The 13,258-nt window shown below is 38.1% G+C and overlaps 1 protein-coding gene across 17 annotated transcripts in view, besides 1 other annotated feature; it reads left to right on the plus strand.

Annotated features, from left to right (window-relative positions):
- The window catches only part of PARD3B (par-3 family cell polarity regulator beta), a 1,074,688-nt gene that overhangs the window by 667,922 nt on the left and 393,508 nt on the right, over positions 1-13,258 (plus strand). The gene's annotated exons all lie outside the window — the stretch shown is intronic.
- Positions 251-838: an enhancer, noted in NCBI's record as "OCT4-NANOG hESC enhancer chr2:206078371-206078958 (GRCh37/hg19 assembly coordinates)". NCBI's record gives its function as "activates a minimal SCP1, AML or CMV promoter by ChIP-STARR-seq in naive H9 embryonic stem cells {active_cell/tissue: H9 hESC(naive)}" and the evidence as "EXISTENCE:reporter gene assay evidence [ECO:0000049][PMID:30033119]".

Genomic DNA, 13,258 nt, shown 5'->3' on the forward strand with positions numbered 1-13,258 from the left:
GATACTGTATACTTCTTGGGCACCTCCCTTCACCACTTAGCATGTGTAGGTGCCCACTAAATCCAAGATGAATGAGTGAATGAATAGTGTTGGAGCAATCTGGCTGCAATCTCAGAAACCCCGTGGACCACGATGATTGATTTGGCTCATCTTACTATCTGGGCAGGTTCCCTTTTCCTACATCAAAAGATTGAATAAATAAAAGTAGAAACAAATGATTAAATGACAAGTGAATAAAAGTGCAAATTAATGGTTTGTTTGAGTAGGAAAATAGAATGAGGATAAAGGTAGCCCAGAACATAGCACCATACGCTCATATTCACTTACCTGGTTTTGTCCACTTAAAAGGAAAGTGTTTGGGAAAGGCTGATAAAAATGAACGTATTTAAGGAAGGAACCAAACACAGGAAATAAAGAAGGTCAAAGGCTTCAATTTCATTAAATAAAGAAGAATGAAAGCAGTTGTTTAAAACTTGAAGAAAAGGGCTGTGTGCTTTATTTCCTAATTGGAGGAATCTATGAATAAATTAGGCAATCACTTGACATAATTGGTTTAGGTCATGTGAATTCACTTGCACCACAAGAGAGGGTAAATTAGATCAAATTGTTTGTGGCCCCTCCTAGTCTTCTGTTCATTACAGGCATTCTTTTTTCCTTTTGTATTCCTCTGTATCTTCCTTTTAGGTTTTTTGTTTGTTTTTTAATCTCAAGAAGTATGTGTTTTTATTTATATTATTTTAATGTATAAGATGTTTTTCCTTTTGGTTGCAGAACAGAGTAGAAGATAATATTCCTGTAATAAAAAAATTTGTGTGCTTCTTATTTATTAATCCCATTTTGATTTTTTCATAAAACTGTTTGCACAAAAATAACGTAGTCTGTACATAAACACAGTGCCATGGGAATTATATTCAAAACATGCTTGAACTGCTTGCTTTTACCTGAAGCAACATGAAATTGAATTACATTAGTATAGAGCAATTTGGTTGCATGTCACTTGTGGCAAATATTGTGTAAGCTGAATATTTAGAGATTTTGTTCACCTTGGGTCACACAGTATTAGTTGTCACGAAAAATACCCCAAGGTGATACCAAAAAAAAAAAAAAATCCTGACTCAAAGAAGACAATTGACTCAAAATAAATTGAGAATATTCCATTCCAAATGGTTTAAACACTTGGTACAGACCCAATGTAGCTTCATAATTTATGCAAATTTTTATCTGCAAAGCAATTTTTGTATTTAGGTTTAATCAAAGAGCTTAATAATGCAAGTACAATCTATTTACTGTCACCTCATATGCTAAGACAACTGAGAAACATTAAAAGGCCCTACGTTCGCATGACCCAGTTTGTACAGTAGCCAGCATAACTTCTTGATGTTGATGGATATGTGAGTTAACTCTAAAATGGGCTAAATTAACTAACCCATTAGATATCTAAATGTGTATCCCTTTAAAAAATAGTACTTACTTAAAGGGCTTATCCGTGACCAAGCTATAATTTAGAGATGTTGTTATATTGAAAATGTGGTCACAAAGTCATTTAAGGGCAAGAATTTCTAAAGGCGGCTCAGTCTAATTGTCCACCCCACTGGGAAAACTGATGATATGCTTCGTCATTAATGGATTGGGAATATCATATCTGTAAAAGAAGTTAATAGCCTTAAATTGTTGTTTAATATGTTATTACCATGCACTTTTCTAGGTGTGTTTTAGAAGGTTCATTTTAAAAATAAAATGCTGGTGTGTAAGAGAAATACTTGGAGAAGCTTATTTCAATGAAAAGAGAAAAATTTGTTTAAGTTGGAGAAGATATTTACTATGGATAATATATGTAAAACCAAGAAGTGATCCTAAGAGTTCACTTTGGATTACATTGTTCTTTTTTTTTTTTAATTCAGCAACATCCTGTAAAGTTACTTGATTTGGAAATGCCAACATTCTTAAAATAGGATTAAGAGACACTGCTTTAATAATCGCTCCCTATTATCCACATGTTCTTTGTCATTCAAGAGAATAAAGGAATAATTAGAAAATACTTGACAAAAGATTAACATCCTTAACATATGAAGAGCTCTTATAAATTATGGGAAAACAAATATTTCAATTCGGAATTGGAAAAGTATATGACAATTCACAAAGGGCAAAAGAAATTTATTTGGGACATAAATATGAAATATATTCAACCTCACAAGTAATTAAGAAAATTGAGATATTATATTGGCAAACATTGGCAAATGCTGAAATATATATGTTCCAGTGGTACAGAACATGCTTGTTGGCCATTTAAATGAATGCTGCTTTCTGTAAGGCAGAGTGGTAATTATATAGGCACCTTAACACTATTTTCATCTTCTACCCAGTAATTCTATTTCTAAAAATTATCCTACCAAAAAAATAAAAGACTTGACCAAGATGGAATATAAAAATTTTCCCTATAGTTAATTTTCCAGCAATAAGAGAATTAGTGAAATTATATAATATTAATCTAATCTATATAATACACTATTATGCAACTAATAGAAATCTTCAGAATGCTTCATGAAATAAAAAATGTTAATGGTAAAATGCCAGTTAAAAAAAGCAGAGTATACAATTATAGTAGTGTGTATGTGTGTGTGTATGTATATATATAATCATGTACGATGTAGTAACATTTCAGTCAACTGCAGACTGCATATTAGTCCCATGAGCTTATAACAGTCTATGTTTACTATATCTTTTCTATGTTTAGATTTGTTTAGAAACACAGATACTTACCATTAGGTTGAAATTGCCTATAGTATTCACTATAGTAACGTGCTCTATGGGTTAACAGCATAGGTACCATAGGCTAGGCCATATAGCCTAGGTGTGTAGCAGGCTAAACCATCGAGGTTTGTGGAAGTACGTGTTATGATGTTCACACAATGATGAAACTGCCTAGCAATGCATTTCTCAGAACCTATCTCAGTCATCTAGTGACGCATGGCTTATAAATCAAAGAAGAAAGTTTGGCAAAATGTTAATATTGACTTTCTCTTAGTGGAAGTTACGTGTATAATTTTTACTTTATTTTTTATATGTTTCTGTATATTTCAAATCTTTACCACAAATATGTATTACACATATAATAAAATCAATTGGCAGTATAAAACTAATTTTAAAATAGAATAAAAAAGCAGAAGCCTGTTCATGGTAAAAAGAAATGCAGATATTTAACTACAAAAAGGACAAAAGGGGTATGAAGTATGTTTAATGCTTACTTCGTATCATTGAGGACTTATCACCTGGAAAGACAAATAAGAATATTTATGGGGCAGAATGATGACATGTTTGTTAAGAGGTTTTAGGTCAACACAGAACAGTACTCTTTATCAGTTAAAATAGCATTAGCTACGAGCACATTCCACTGCAATGCTCAGGGATCCGTACCAAACTGTTGTTGTAAGCAGGAGTTCATTTGTCTTATGTAATGTGAAGCCTGAATAAGGCCAATCCAGGGTCTCCGTGAAGGTACCAGAGGCCTAGGCTCCTTCTCCTCTTCACTCTGCCACTCTTGACTTTCTGGCTCTCGCACCCATATTTGTCACTGTGGAGTGTACAGATGGCTTCTATGTCTTCAGCAATCACATCCATGTTTCAGGCAAAAAAAAAAAGTAACAGAAGGCAAAAGGGTACGCCAACATTCTTCCCTAATTCAGGAAATCCAGTATCAGCTAAGAAGTGCTGTCCAGCAAACTTCTACTCTTATTCATTGGCCAGGACTATCACATGTCACATACTGTCTAGCCAGAAAGTAGCTAGGGAAAACAGGGTTGTAGGTGGCATTGGATCAGTCAAGCTACATGTCTGCCATAGCCACCCAGTGTGTCTGTAAGTTTCTGGTCACTGCATGTGTGCAGAAGTGCACAGACAGCCTCATTAGTTAGGCAGAATTTCTGAGTTGCTTTAGATCTTAGTCCTGAGAGACTATTATTTTAATTTTGTTTTGACAGAATTGTAGAATAAGTAGAAAAATGATAAGAGAGCAATGTCCTGATTCTCTGTCCACTGCCAAAGTCAAGCTTGGCCAATTATATTTAAGCTGGAACAGAGGATAAGAAGTGAGAGTTGCTTGAGAGAATCATAGTACCATCTTCAAACAGAGAAGCTAGTGAAGGAACAAGATGCAGGAAGGAGACACCCAGAGAGAAGAATAACCAGAGAAGCTAGTGAAGGAACAAGATGCAGGAAGGAGACACCCAGAGAGAAAAATATAACAACAAATTACTATTTTTTCTTAATGTCTCTAACCTACTGGTTTTAAATTTTATATATATACACACATACATATATATATACACACATACATATACACATATATGTATGTGTGTATATATGTGTGTAGATAAGTATATATGTATATATATGTGTGCATGTATATATGTGTGTATATATGTATATGTGTGTGTATATATGTGTGTATATGTGTGTGTGTGTGTGTGTGTGTGTATATATATATATATATATATATATATTTTTTTTTTTATTTTTTTGAGATGGTCTCTCGCTCTGTCACCCAGGCTGCAGTGCAATGGTACAATGGCTCACTGCAACCTCCACCTCCTGGGTTCAAGCGATTCTTCTGCCTCAACCTCCTGAGTAGCTGGGATTACAGACGTGCTTCACAATGCTCAGCTAATTTTTGTATTTTTAATAGAGGTGGGGTTTCACCATGTTGGTCAGGCTGGTCTCGAACTCCTGACCCCATGATCCACCCACCTTGGCTTCTCAAAGTGCTAGGATTACAAGACATGAGCCACCACGCCCAGCCCAAATTTTCTATTTTTATGTCCTAAATTGTTGAAGCAATTCTTCTGATCGAAACAGGCAAGGGTTTTATTTTTCTTATGAGTCACTATAGGCACAAGGCCTAGAGCCTATAAGCTTTACAAAAACCTACTGAAGTATGTGAGATATGAACAAAATTATTGGCTGTAATGTATGAACATAAATCCAAGTGTGAAATTAATAAATGTTTATCCCTGAAATGGAAGCTTATGCCAATTTTAGTAATTATTACACTTAGAATTTATTATTTTAAAAAATATCAATTGCAAAAAGGTTACACTTTTGGTTTTTTTACAACTCAAAAGAATTTCTAAGTATGCAGAGAGATTGCTAAAAAAATCAGTCAATCTATAATTAACTCATAGGCAAATAATTGTAAATAGATTTTGTAAATCTCTTTCAAATTTTTACAGCAAAAATTTTATTTAATGTAGGAGGGGGATGGGGAGGAAGAGAGAGTAGCAGGAGAGAACACACTATGGGTACAGCCCATTGCTTTTACCTTTTCCCTCCCTTTATTATTTGCCTCTGAGATGTCCAAAGAAATCTCTGGTCTTAGGAAAAAAAGATTTTAAAAATTACTGCCTGTGGCTGGGCATGGTGGCTCATGGCTGTAATCCAAGCACTTTGGGAGGCTGAAGTGGGCAGATCACCTGAGGTCAGGAATTCAAGACCAGCCTGCCCAACATGGTGAAACTCCATCTCCACTAAAAATACAAAAATCAGCTGGGTGTGGTGGCACGTGCCTGTAATTCCAGCTACTCGGGAGGCTGAAGCAGGAGAATTGCTTGAATCTGAGAGGCGGAAGTTACGGTGAGCTGAGATTGCACCACTGCACTACAGCCTGGGGGACAAAGGGAGACTCTGTTTAAAAAAAAAAAAAAATGCTGCCTGTGAGGTCACTCTGGACTCTGGGTCTAGCCACTGTCTGTTTGTCCAGTTAATGTTTTCTATTAGCTCAACTTTGTTCGAGATTCTTAATATAACTCAATACTTTCCAAAAAGCTAGCAGATATTTAATATGTATGTGTAATCGCCTTTTCTGCAGAAAGGAGCGTGATTTAAGTGAGCTCATCTAATAGATCAGTATAAAATACCAGATGAGTTCACTAGAGTGTGTGAAGAACTTTGTGCATCCCATTTAAGTGAATGGTTGTGTGCTCTGAAATGAAGAGACAGCACATAAACCCCCAAAGTTAATAAACTCTAATAAACAATGAATCTGGATGACAACTTTTCAAAATCTATTACACAGTAGTAGCCCTGGTTTTGCACAGTTTGCATATTAAACAGATGATAGTAGATTCTGGGCAGAAATATAGACAGTATTATGTACTTCAATTCGTGCCAGAAGAGAAATTTTTTGATAGCACTTATTGTAGCCAAGAACAAAGCAGCTATACAATCCCCAGCCAGAAACCAGGTGCCAAAATTAATTCATGCAAGAATAAAATGGGTTGGCACCTTATGGTAAAGTCATAAGCTCTTGAGGAAATGCACAGGAAAGTTCTGGGTAGCTTGAGTTACTACGTCTTTATGGTTACTTCCATTCTGGGCTGGCTCATTAACTTTGCAATAAGAAATACCATGGAATGATCAGAAAATGTTTTCACCCAGCCAGGAAATCTCACAACCACAGGCAAAAGTGCCATGAAGAGAGCAGACATGGTTTTCAGTAATGTAAGCCCTGCACATGATTTGGATATAGCAGGCTTACTTGTCACGTTTGTAGGAGCCACATAACTTGGTAGGTTAGCAAATCACACTGGATGACAGAATCAGGATTCAAAAAGGTCTCAACAGGGAGAACTGTTGAGCCGCAATTCAGAAGATTAAATTTAATAGGGATGAATGTAAATTCCTGTATTTGGGTTCAAAAAAGGAAGCAACTGCTTCCTGCCTTACTCCCATCCAATTTATTTTCCACGCTGCAGCCTGGGTGATCATTTTAAAACACAAATCTGATCATGTCACTTCCTTGCTAAAAATCCCTTAACAACATCCCATTGCCCTGAGGATGAAGACAGAACTCATTAATGTGGTTTTTGAGATTCTCTATGACTGGCCCCTTCCTTTCTCTTCCGCCTGTTCTCTCTCCAGGCTCCCTCTCACACTGAGCACCCCAGCCAAATGGAAGATCTTAGGGTTCCTCATTTTAGGCTGCTTTTAGGTTCTCATGTTTTCTTTGCCCGAAACACATCTTCCCAATTTCCTATACATTTCCAGAAAAGCCCAATCCATGGGCTACTGTTAGGTGCCTCATTACCAACTTTCAAGGTTCTCTGACCAGCCTTTTATTTAACAAATATGTATTGAGTGCCTACTACATTTCAGACATGTTCTAGGCTCCAGAGATAAAACAGTGAACAAAGTAAAGCTCATGTCCACGTGAAGCTTATGTTTTCTTGGGGAAGATGCCAGGCAGTACCAAGTCTTTTGAAGAAAAATGGAGAATGATAAGAAGATAATGATGGACAGTCAGGGTTGGGAGGCCTGCTTTACATAGGGTGGCGATGGGAGGACCTCTCTGATAAGATGACATTTTTGGAGATAAGATCAAAGGAGGTCAGTGAACTTTGTGGCTATCTGTGAGAATAGCACCACAGTATGGAAAAGAGCATGTTCCAAAACCTTGAGGAGGGGCATGGTTTGCGTGTCCTAGGACTTGTGGTGAGGCTGGATTGGGTGAAGTACCCTGATCCAGGGCAGAGCTGTGCAGATGATATTGGAGGGGCTGCTGCACTCAGCCCAGGCAGGGCTTGGAAGCTGTGGAAGCCTTTGGATTTTCTTCTAAATGTGGTTGGAAGCTAACTGGGAGGCTTTAAGCAAGGGGCTATTATAATAAGATTTTTGTTTTGGTTTGGTTTTAGTTTTTAAATAATTACAGTAGCTTTGTTGTGGAAAATAGACCATAGGGACTAAATGCAGAGTCCCACAGATTAGTCAAGAGATGTTACATCTGTCAAGGTGAGAGCTGGAGGTAGCTTTGGCCAGGTAGGTTTGCTAGCACTTACTCCACTCTTTGTGATTACTTGTGTGTTAGAAGCCCTGCCAGTGCAGGGCTCAGGACTACCTTGCTCCTTTTACAACCTCAGTGCCTAGCATGGTGCCCGATGTACCACCGGCTCTCCGTAAACATTCATCGGATGGAGATGATCTGGTTTAACGGCAGTTAGTACGAAAAACGACTTCAGGATTTTTAGCTGACTGCACACAGTTGATGAGCCAGCAGTAGCCCGGTTCAGCTGCCAGGAAAGCTAATGCTGTCTTAGGTGGCATTAAAAACTTTGGTGAGGGTGTCAGTGAAAGGGAGATGTGGGTCCTAGGGTGCTCCATGCTGTTTATGCTACACTGGACTGTTGGCCTGATCCTACACTACTTTTTCCCTTGTATCTTCTTTCTAATAATGGCATATTTCAATCACGAGGCCACACACTTTGGATTCATCTGTGGTTCTTTCTGTTGCTTCATTACCATGTACAAACAATAAATTCTCTATGATATCACCTAGCACTGTCTCTCTCTCTCTGTCTGTCTGTCTCCGTCTCTGTCTTATTTTTCCCTTTTCCCCTGCTCTGACACAATGCCAACAGTAGTCCATGCCTGTCTTGGTAAAAGTTTCCAGGTGCGTGAGACTCTAAACAACTTATTATAACTCTTATTTCTGAGAGTATCAACAATTATTTTTAAAAACATTATATGCTGGACACATAGAGGGGAACAACACACTCTGGGGCCTATTGGAGGGTGGAGGGTAGGAGGAGGGAGAGGATCAGGAAAAATAACTAATGGGTACTAGGCTTAATATTTGGGTGATGAAATAATCTGTTCAACAGACCTCTATTACACAAGTATACCTAGGTAACAAACCTCTACATGCGCCTCTGAACTTAAAAGTTGAAAAAAAAATCCCAGTAATTTTCTCATGAAAAATACCCAGAAAGTTAATGAACTATTAGACCTTCCAATATAAAAAAAAAAAAAGAAACACATATGCTGTTTCATATAGGTTGGTATGAAATTCTACTTTAGTAGATAGTGTTAAGTAGTAGAAATATGTAGTTCTTTATGGCAAAGTCATTAGCAAAATCTTCTCAAAGTCACACAGTAGAAGGAATTTGTGCTTTGAAGTCAGGAACCCTTCAGATCCCTGCTGTTCCACGTACAAACTTTATGTCATAACCCTTCTTAGCCTAAGTTCCCTCCTCTGTGAAATGAAGATAATAAAACCCAACTCAAAGAGTTTTTGTAAGGATTAAATGAGATAACACATATTGAAATGCTTACCATGATTTCTGACACATGCTAAATTGGTAATAAGTTTTCATTTCCTTCCTATCTGTTAAAAAAGGGGTCACTAGACAATGTGAAAACATACATTATAAATAGTGGAAACAGAGGTGTGTTTTCCATCAGTTAATAGTGAATAATGGCCGTTTGCCTTAAGGTAGCCTGTGCCCCTTTTATTGATGGTTTAATGAATATCAATTTCTTGCTGATAGCAGAAATATTTGTCAAAGGTCTGAGAATCATGAAAGCTTTTACAATTTGAGTGGTAAACATAGTCCATCCCTGACAGATTCCAGAAATGAGCAGAGAATGAGGTTTCCTAGGAGCAATCTTGCACAAATAGTCTTTTCTCTGTGTCAGGTGGGAAAAAAAAAAGATGGAGCAGAGACTTCATAGTATCGTTGTAAACTGTAACTGTTTATTTTGTAAAGATGAGTAAAATGCTATCTTTGCCTTCATTGAGGTTGTCCATAAATCAGTGTAGTACAGAGTAGAAAGTGGTACGTATTCTTGGAGGAAATGCTAAAGTGTTCTGAGGCAGGATCGGGAGCAGAGATGGAGAGAATATTCTAGGAAGTACAGGTCCCAGAAGGAGTAACAGTGCAGCATCTAAACATGTGAGATCAGCGGCATTTTCAACAAGAGATAAACACAAATGAGAAAAAAACAGGAATCACTCTATGTGACTTGAAGATGAATAGAGGATAATATAATGGAAAAGGTAAAAAGGGTACAAATCTGGGATACAAAGATAAAGAGAATATTATTCATAGGCAGTGAAATATTAGTGAAGGTTTGGAGTAGCTTAGAAAAATTATGAAAGTGATGTTTAGCATGGATGAATGTTGATGTGGTAAATAAGATGAGTAGTAGAGTTACAGAGACAGAGGTGGGTCAAGAGCAAGTTGGAGGCAATTGCAAAAATTCAGCCATGGAATAACAAAAGCCATAGGTCCAGGTATGAGAATTCTTGAAAGGAAGACCTGACGGCTGACTGGCTGTGACTGCTGCTCATGAAGACAGCATGTATGTTGTCAGGACAGGAGAATAACCCTGAGCCTAGATATGGTTTCTTTTCAGTCTGCCCACTCAGCTGCTTTCTTTTTATGGTCCTGTATTCAAAAAAACCAACCAACCAACCAACCAACCAAATAAAACTTGCCTGTTCTCAGCAATGATTTCATAATATCCTTATGTAGGAAAGAAGTAAGTGATGAGACCTCCAAAGGATATTGTCCTCAGCCACTGATCACATTCTTAGCTTAGTGTTCTTCCATTATGTTTCCTTTTAATTTTGTAGTTATGTGATAAGTATATATTTATGGGGTACATGAGATGTTTTGATACAGGTGTACAATGCATACTAATCACATCAGAGTAAATGGGGTGTCCATCACATCAAGCATTTATCCTGTCATTGTATTACAAACAATCCAATTATACTATTTTAGTCATTCCGGAGGCTGAGGCAGGAGAAATGGCATGAACCCAGGAGGTGGAGCTTACAGTGAGCCAAGATCACACCACTGCACTCCAGCCTGGGTGACAGAGTGAGACTCCATCTCAAAAAAAAAAAAAGAAAATAAATGGGCCAGGCACGGTGGCTCACACCTGTAATCCCAGCACTTTGGGAGGCTGAGGCAGGCGGATCATGAGGTCAGGAGATTGAGACCATCCTGGAGAACATGGTTGAAACCCCGTCTCTACTAAAAATACAAAAAAATTAGCCGGGCATGGTGGCAGGTGCCTGTAGTCCCAGCTACTCGGGAGGCTGAGGCAGGAGAATGGTGTGAGCCCAGGAGGTGGAGCTTGCAGTGAGCGGAGACAGCACCACTGCACTCCAGCCTGGGCCACAGAGCGAGACTCCGTCTCAAAAAAAAAAAAAAAAAAGAAAGAAAGAAAGAAAAAGAAAAAGAAAAAAAAAGTACAATAAATTATTGTTGACTGTAGTCACCCTGTTATGCTATCAAATACTAGATCTTATTCTGACTATATTTTTGTGCCCATTCATCATTCCCACTTCCCCACCGCCACTCCCCAGAAGCCCCCCGCCCCCAACCCCCCAGCACACACTAGCCTTCCCAACCCCTCTGGTTATCATCATTCTATTCTCTATCTCCATGACTTCAGTTGTTTTAATTTTTAGATCCCACAAAAAAAGTGAGAACATTCAAAGTTTGCCTTTCTGTGCCTGGCTTATTTCATTTAACATAATGACCTCCAGTTCCATCCATTTGTTGGAAAAGATAGAATCTCATTCTTTTTTATGGCTGAATAGTACCTGATTTTTTTTTCTTTTCTCATAATTTTTTATTCCATGGGTCGAAAGAAAAAGAAAGAGATAATTATTTTTGCCAACCTGGAACTGGCCATTCAAGCCAACATGCTTGAAACTTTCTTTTATCTTCCATAACCATATTTTTTTCCTATTTTTTATTATACTTTAAGTTCTAGGGTACATGTAGTACCTGATTATTTATATGTACATTTTCTTTATTCATTCCTCTGTTGATGGACAATTAGGTAGCTTCCAAATCTTGGCTATTGTGAATAGTGCTGCAATAAACATGGGAGTGAAGATATCTCTTTGATATACTGATTTCCTTGCTTTTGGGTATATACATAGCAGTAGGATTGCTGGATCATATGGGAGCTCTATATTGAGTTTTTTAAGGAACCTCCAAACCATTTTCCATAATAGTTGTACTAATTTACATTCCCACCAACAGTGTTTGAGGGTTCCCTTTTCTCCACATCCTTGCCAGCATTTGTTATTGCCTGTCTTTTGGATGAAAGCCATTTTAACTGGGGTGAGATGACATCTCACTATAGTTTTGACTTGCATTTCTCTGATGATCAATGATGTTGAGCACCTTTTACTATACCTGTTTGCCATTTTTATGTCTTGAGAAATATCTGTGCAGATATTTTGTCCATTTTTAAAATCAGATTTTTAGATTTTTTTCCTCTGGAGTTGTTTGAGCTCTTTATGTATACTGTTTAATAATCCATTTTCAGATGGTATATTAGTCTGTTCTCACTCACACTGTTTTAAAGAACTACCTGAGACTGGGTAATTTATGAAGAAAAGAAGTTTAATTAACTCATAGTTCTGCAGGCTGTACAAGAAGCATGACTGAGTGGCCTCAAGAAACTTACAATCATGGCAGAAGGCAAAGGGGAAGCAAGCACATCTTTACATGTCAGACCAGGATAAAGAGAGAAAAGGGGAAAGTGCCGCACACTTTTAAACAATCAGATCTCATGAGAGCTCACTAACTATCATGAGAACAAACAGCAAGGGGGAAATCCACCCCCATGATCAAATTACCTCCCACCAGGTCCTTTCCCCAACATTTGGAATTACAATTAAACATGAGATGTGGGTGGAGACACAGAGACAAACCATATCAGATGGGTAGTTTGCAAATATTTTCACCCATTCTGTGGATTGTCTCTTCACTTTGTTCACTGTTTCTTTTGCTGAGAAGCAGCTTTTTTTGTTTTGTTTTATGAGACGAATTCTCATTCTGTCACCCAGGCTAGAGTGCAATGGCACGATCTCAAGAGTCTCGTTGTGTCACCCAGGCCAGAGTGCAGTGGCACAATCTCTGCTCACTGCAAGCTCCGCCTCCCGGGTTCACACCATTCTCCTGCCTCAGCCTCCCGAGTAGCTGGGACTACAGGTGCCTGCCACCACGCCCGGCTAATTTTTTGTGTTTTTAGTAGAGACGAGGTTTCATCGTGTTAGCCAGGATGGTCTCGATCTCCTGATCTTGTGATCCGCCCGCCTTGGCCTCCCAAGTTCTGGGATCACAGGCATGAGCCACCACGCCCGGCCAAAAAAGCTTTTTAATTTGATGTGATCCCATTTGCCCATGTTTGCAGTTGGTTGCTTGTACTTGTGGAGTATTACTCAAGAAATCGTTGCCGAGTCTAATGTCCTGGAGCATTTCCCTGATGTTTTCTTGTAGTAGTTTCATGGTTTGGGGTTTTATATGTAAGTATTTAATCCATGTAGATTTGATTTTTTTTTATATGGTGAGAGATAAGAGTCTAGTTTCATTCTCCTGCATATGAATATCCAGTTTTCCCAGTACCGTTTATTGAAGAGACTGTTCTTTCCCCAGTGTATGTTCTTGGCTTATTTGTCAAA

Source organism: Homo sapiens, chromosome 2, assembly GCF_000001405.40.
Source record: "Homo sapiens chromosome 2, GRCh38.p14 Primary Assembly".
NCBI lineage: Eukaryota > Metazoa > Chordata > Mammalia > Primates > Hominidae > Homo > Homo sapiens.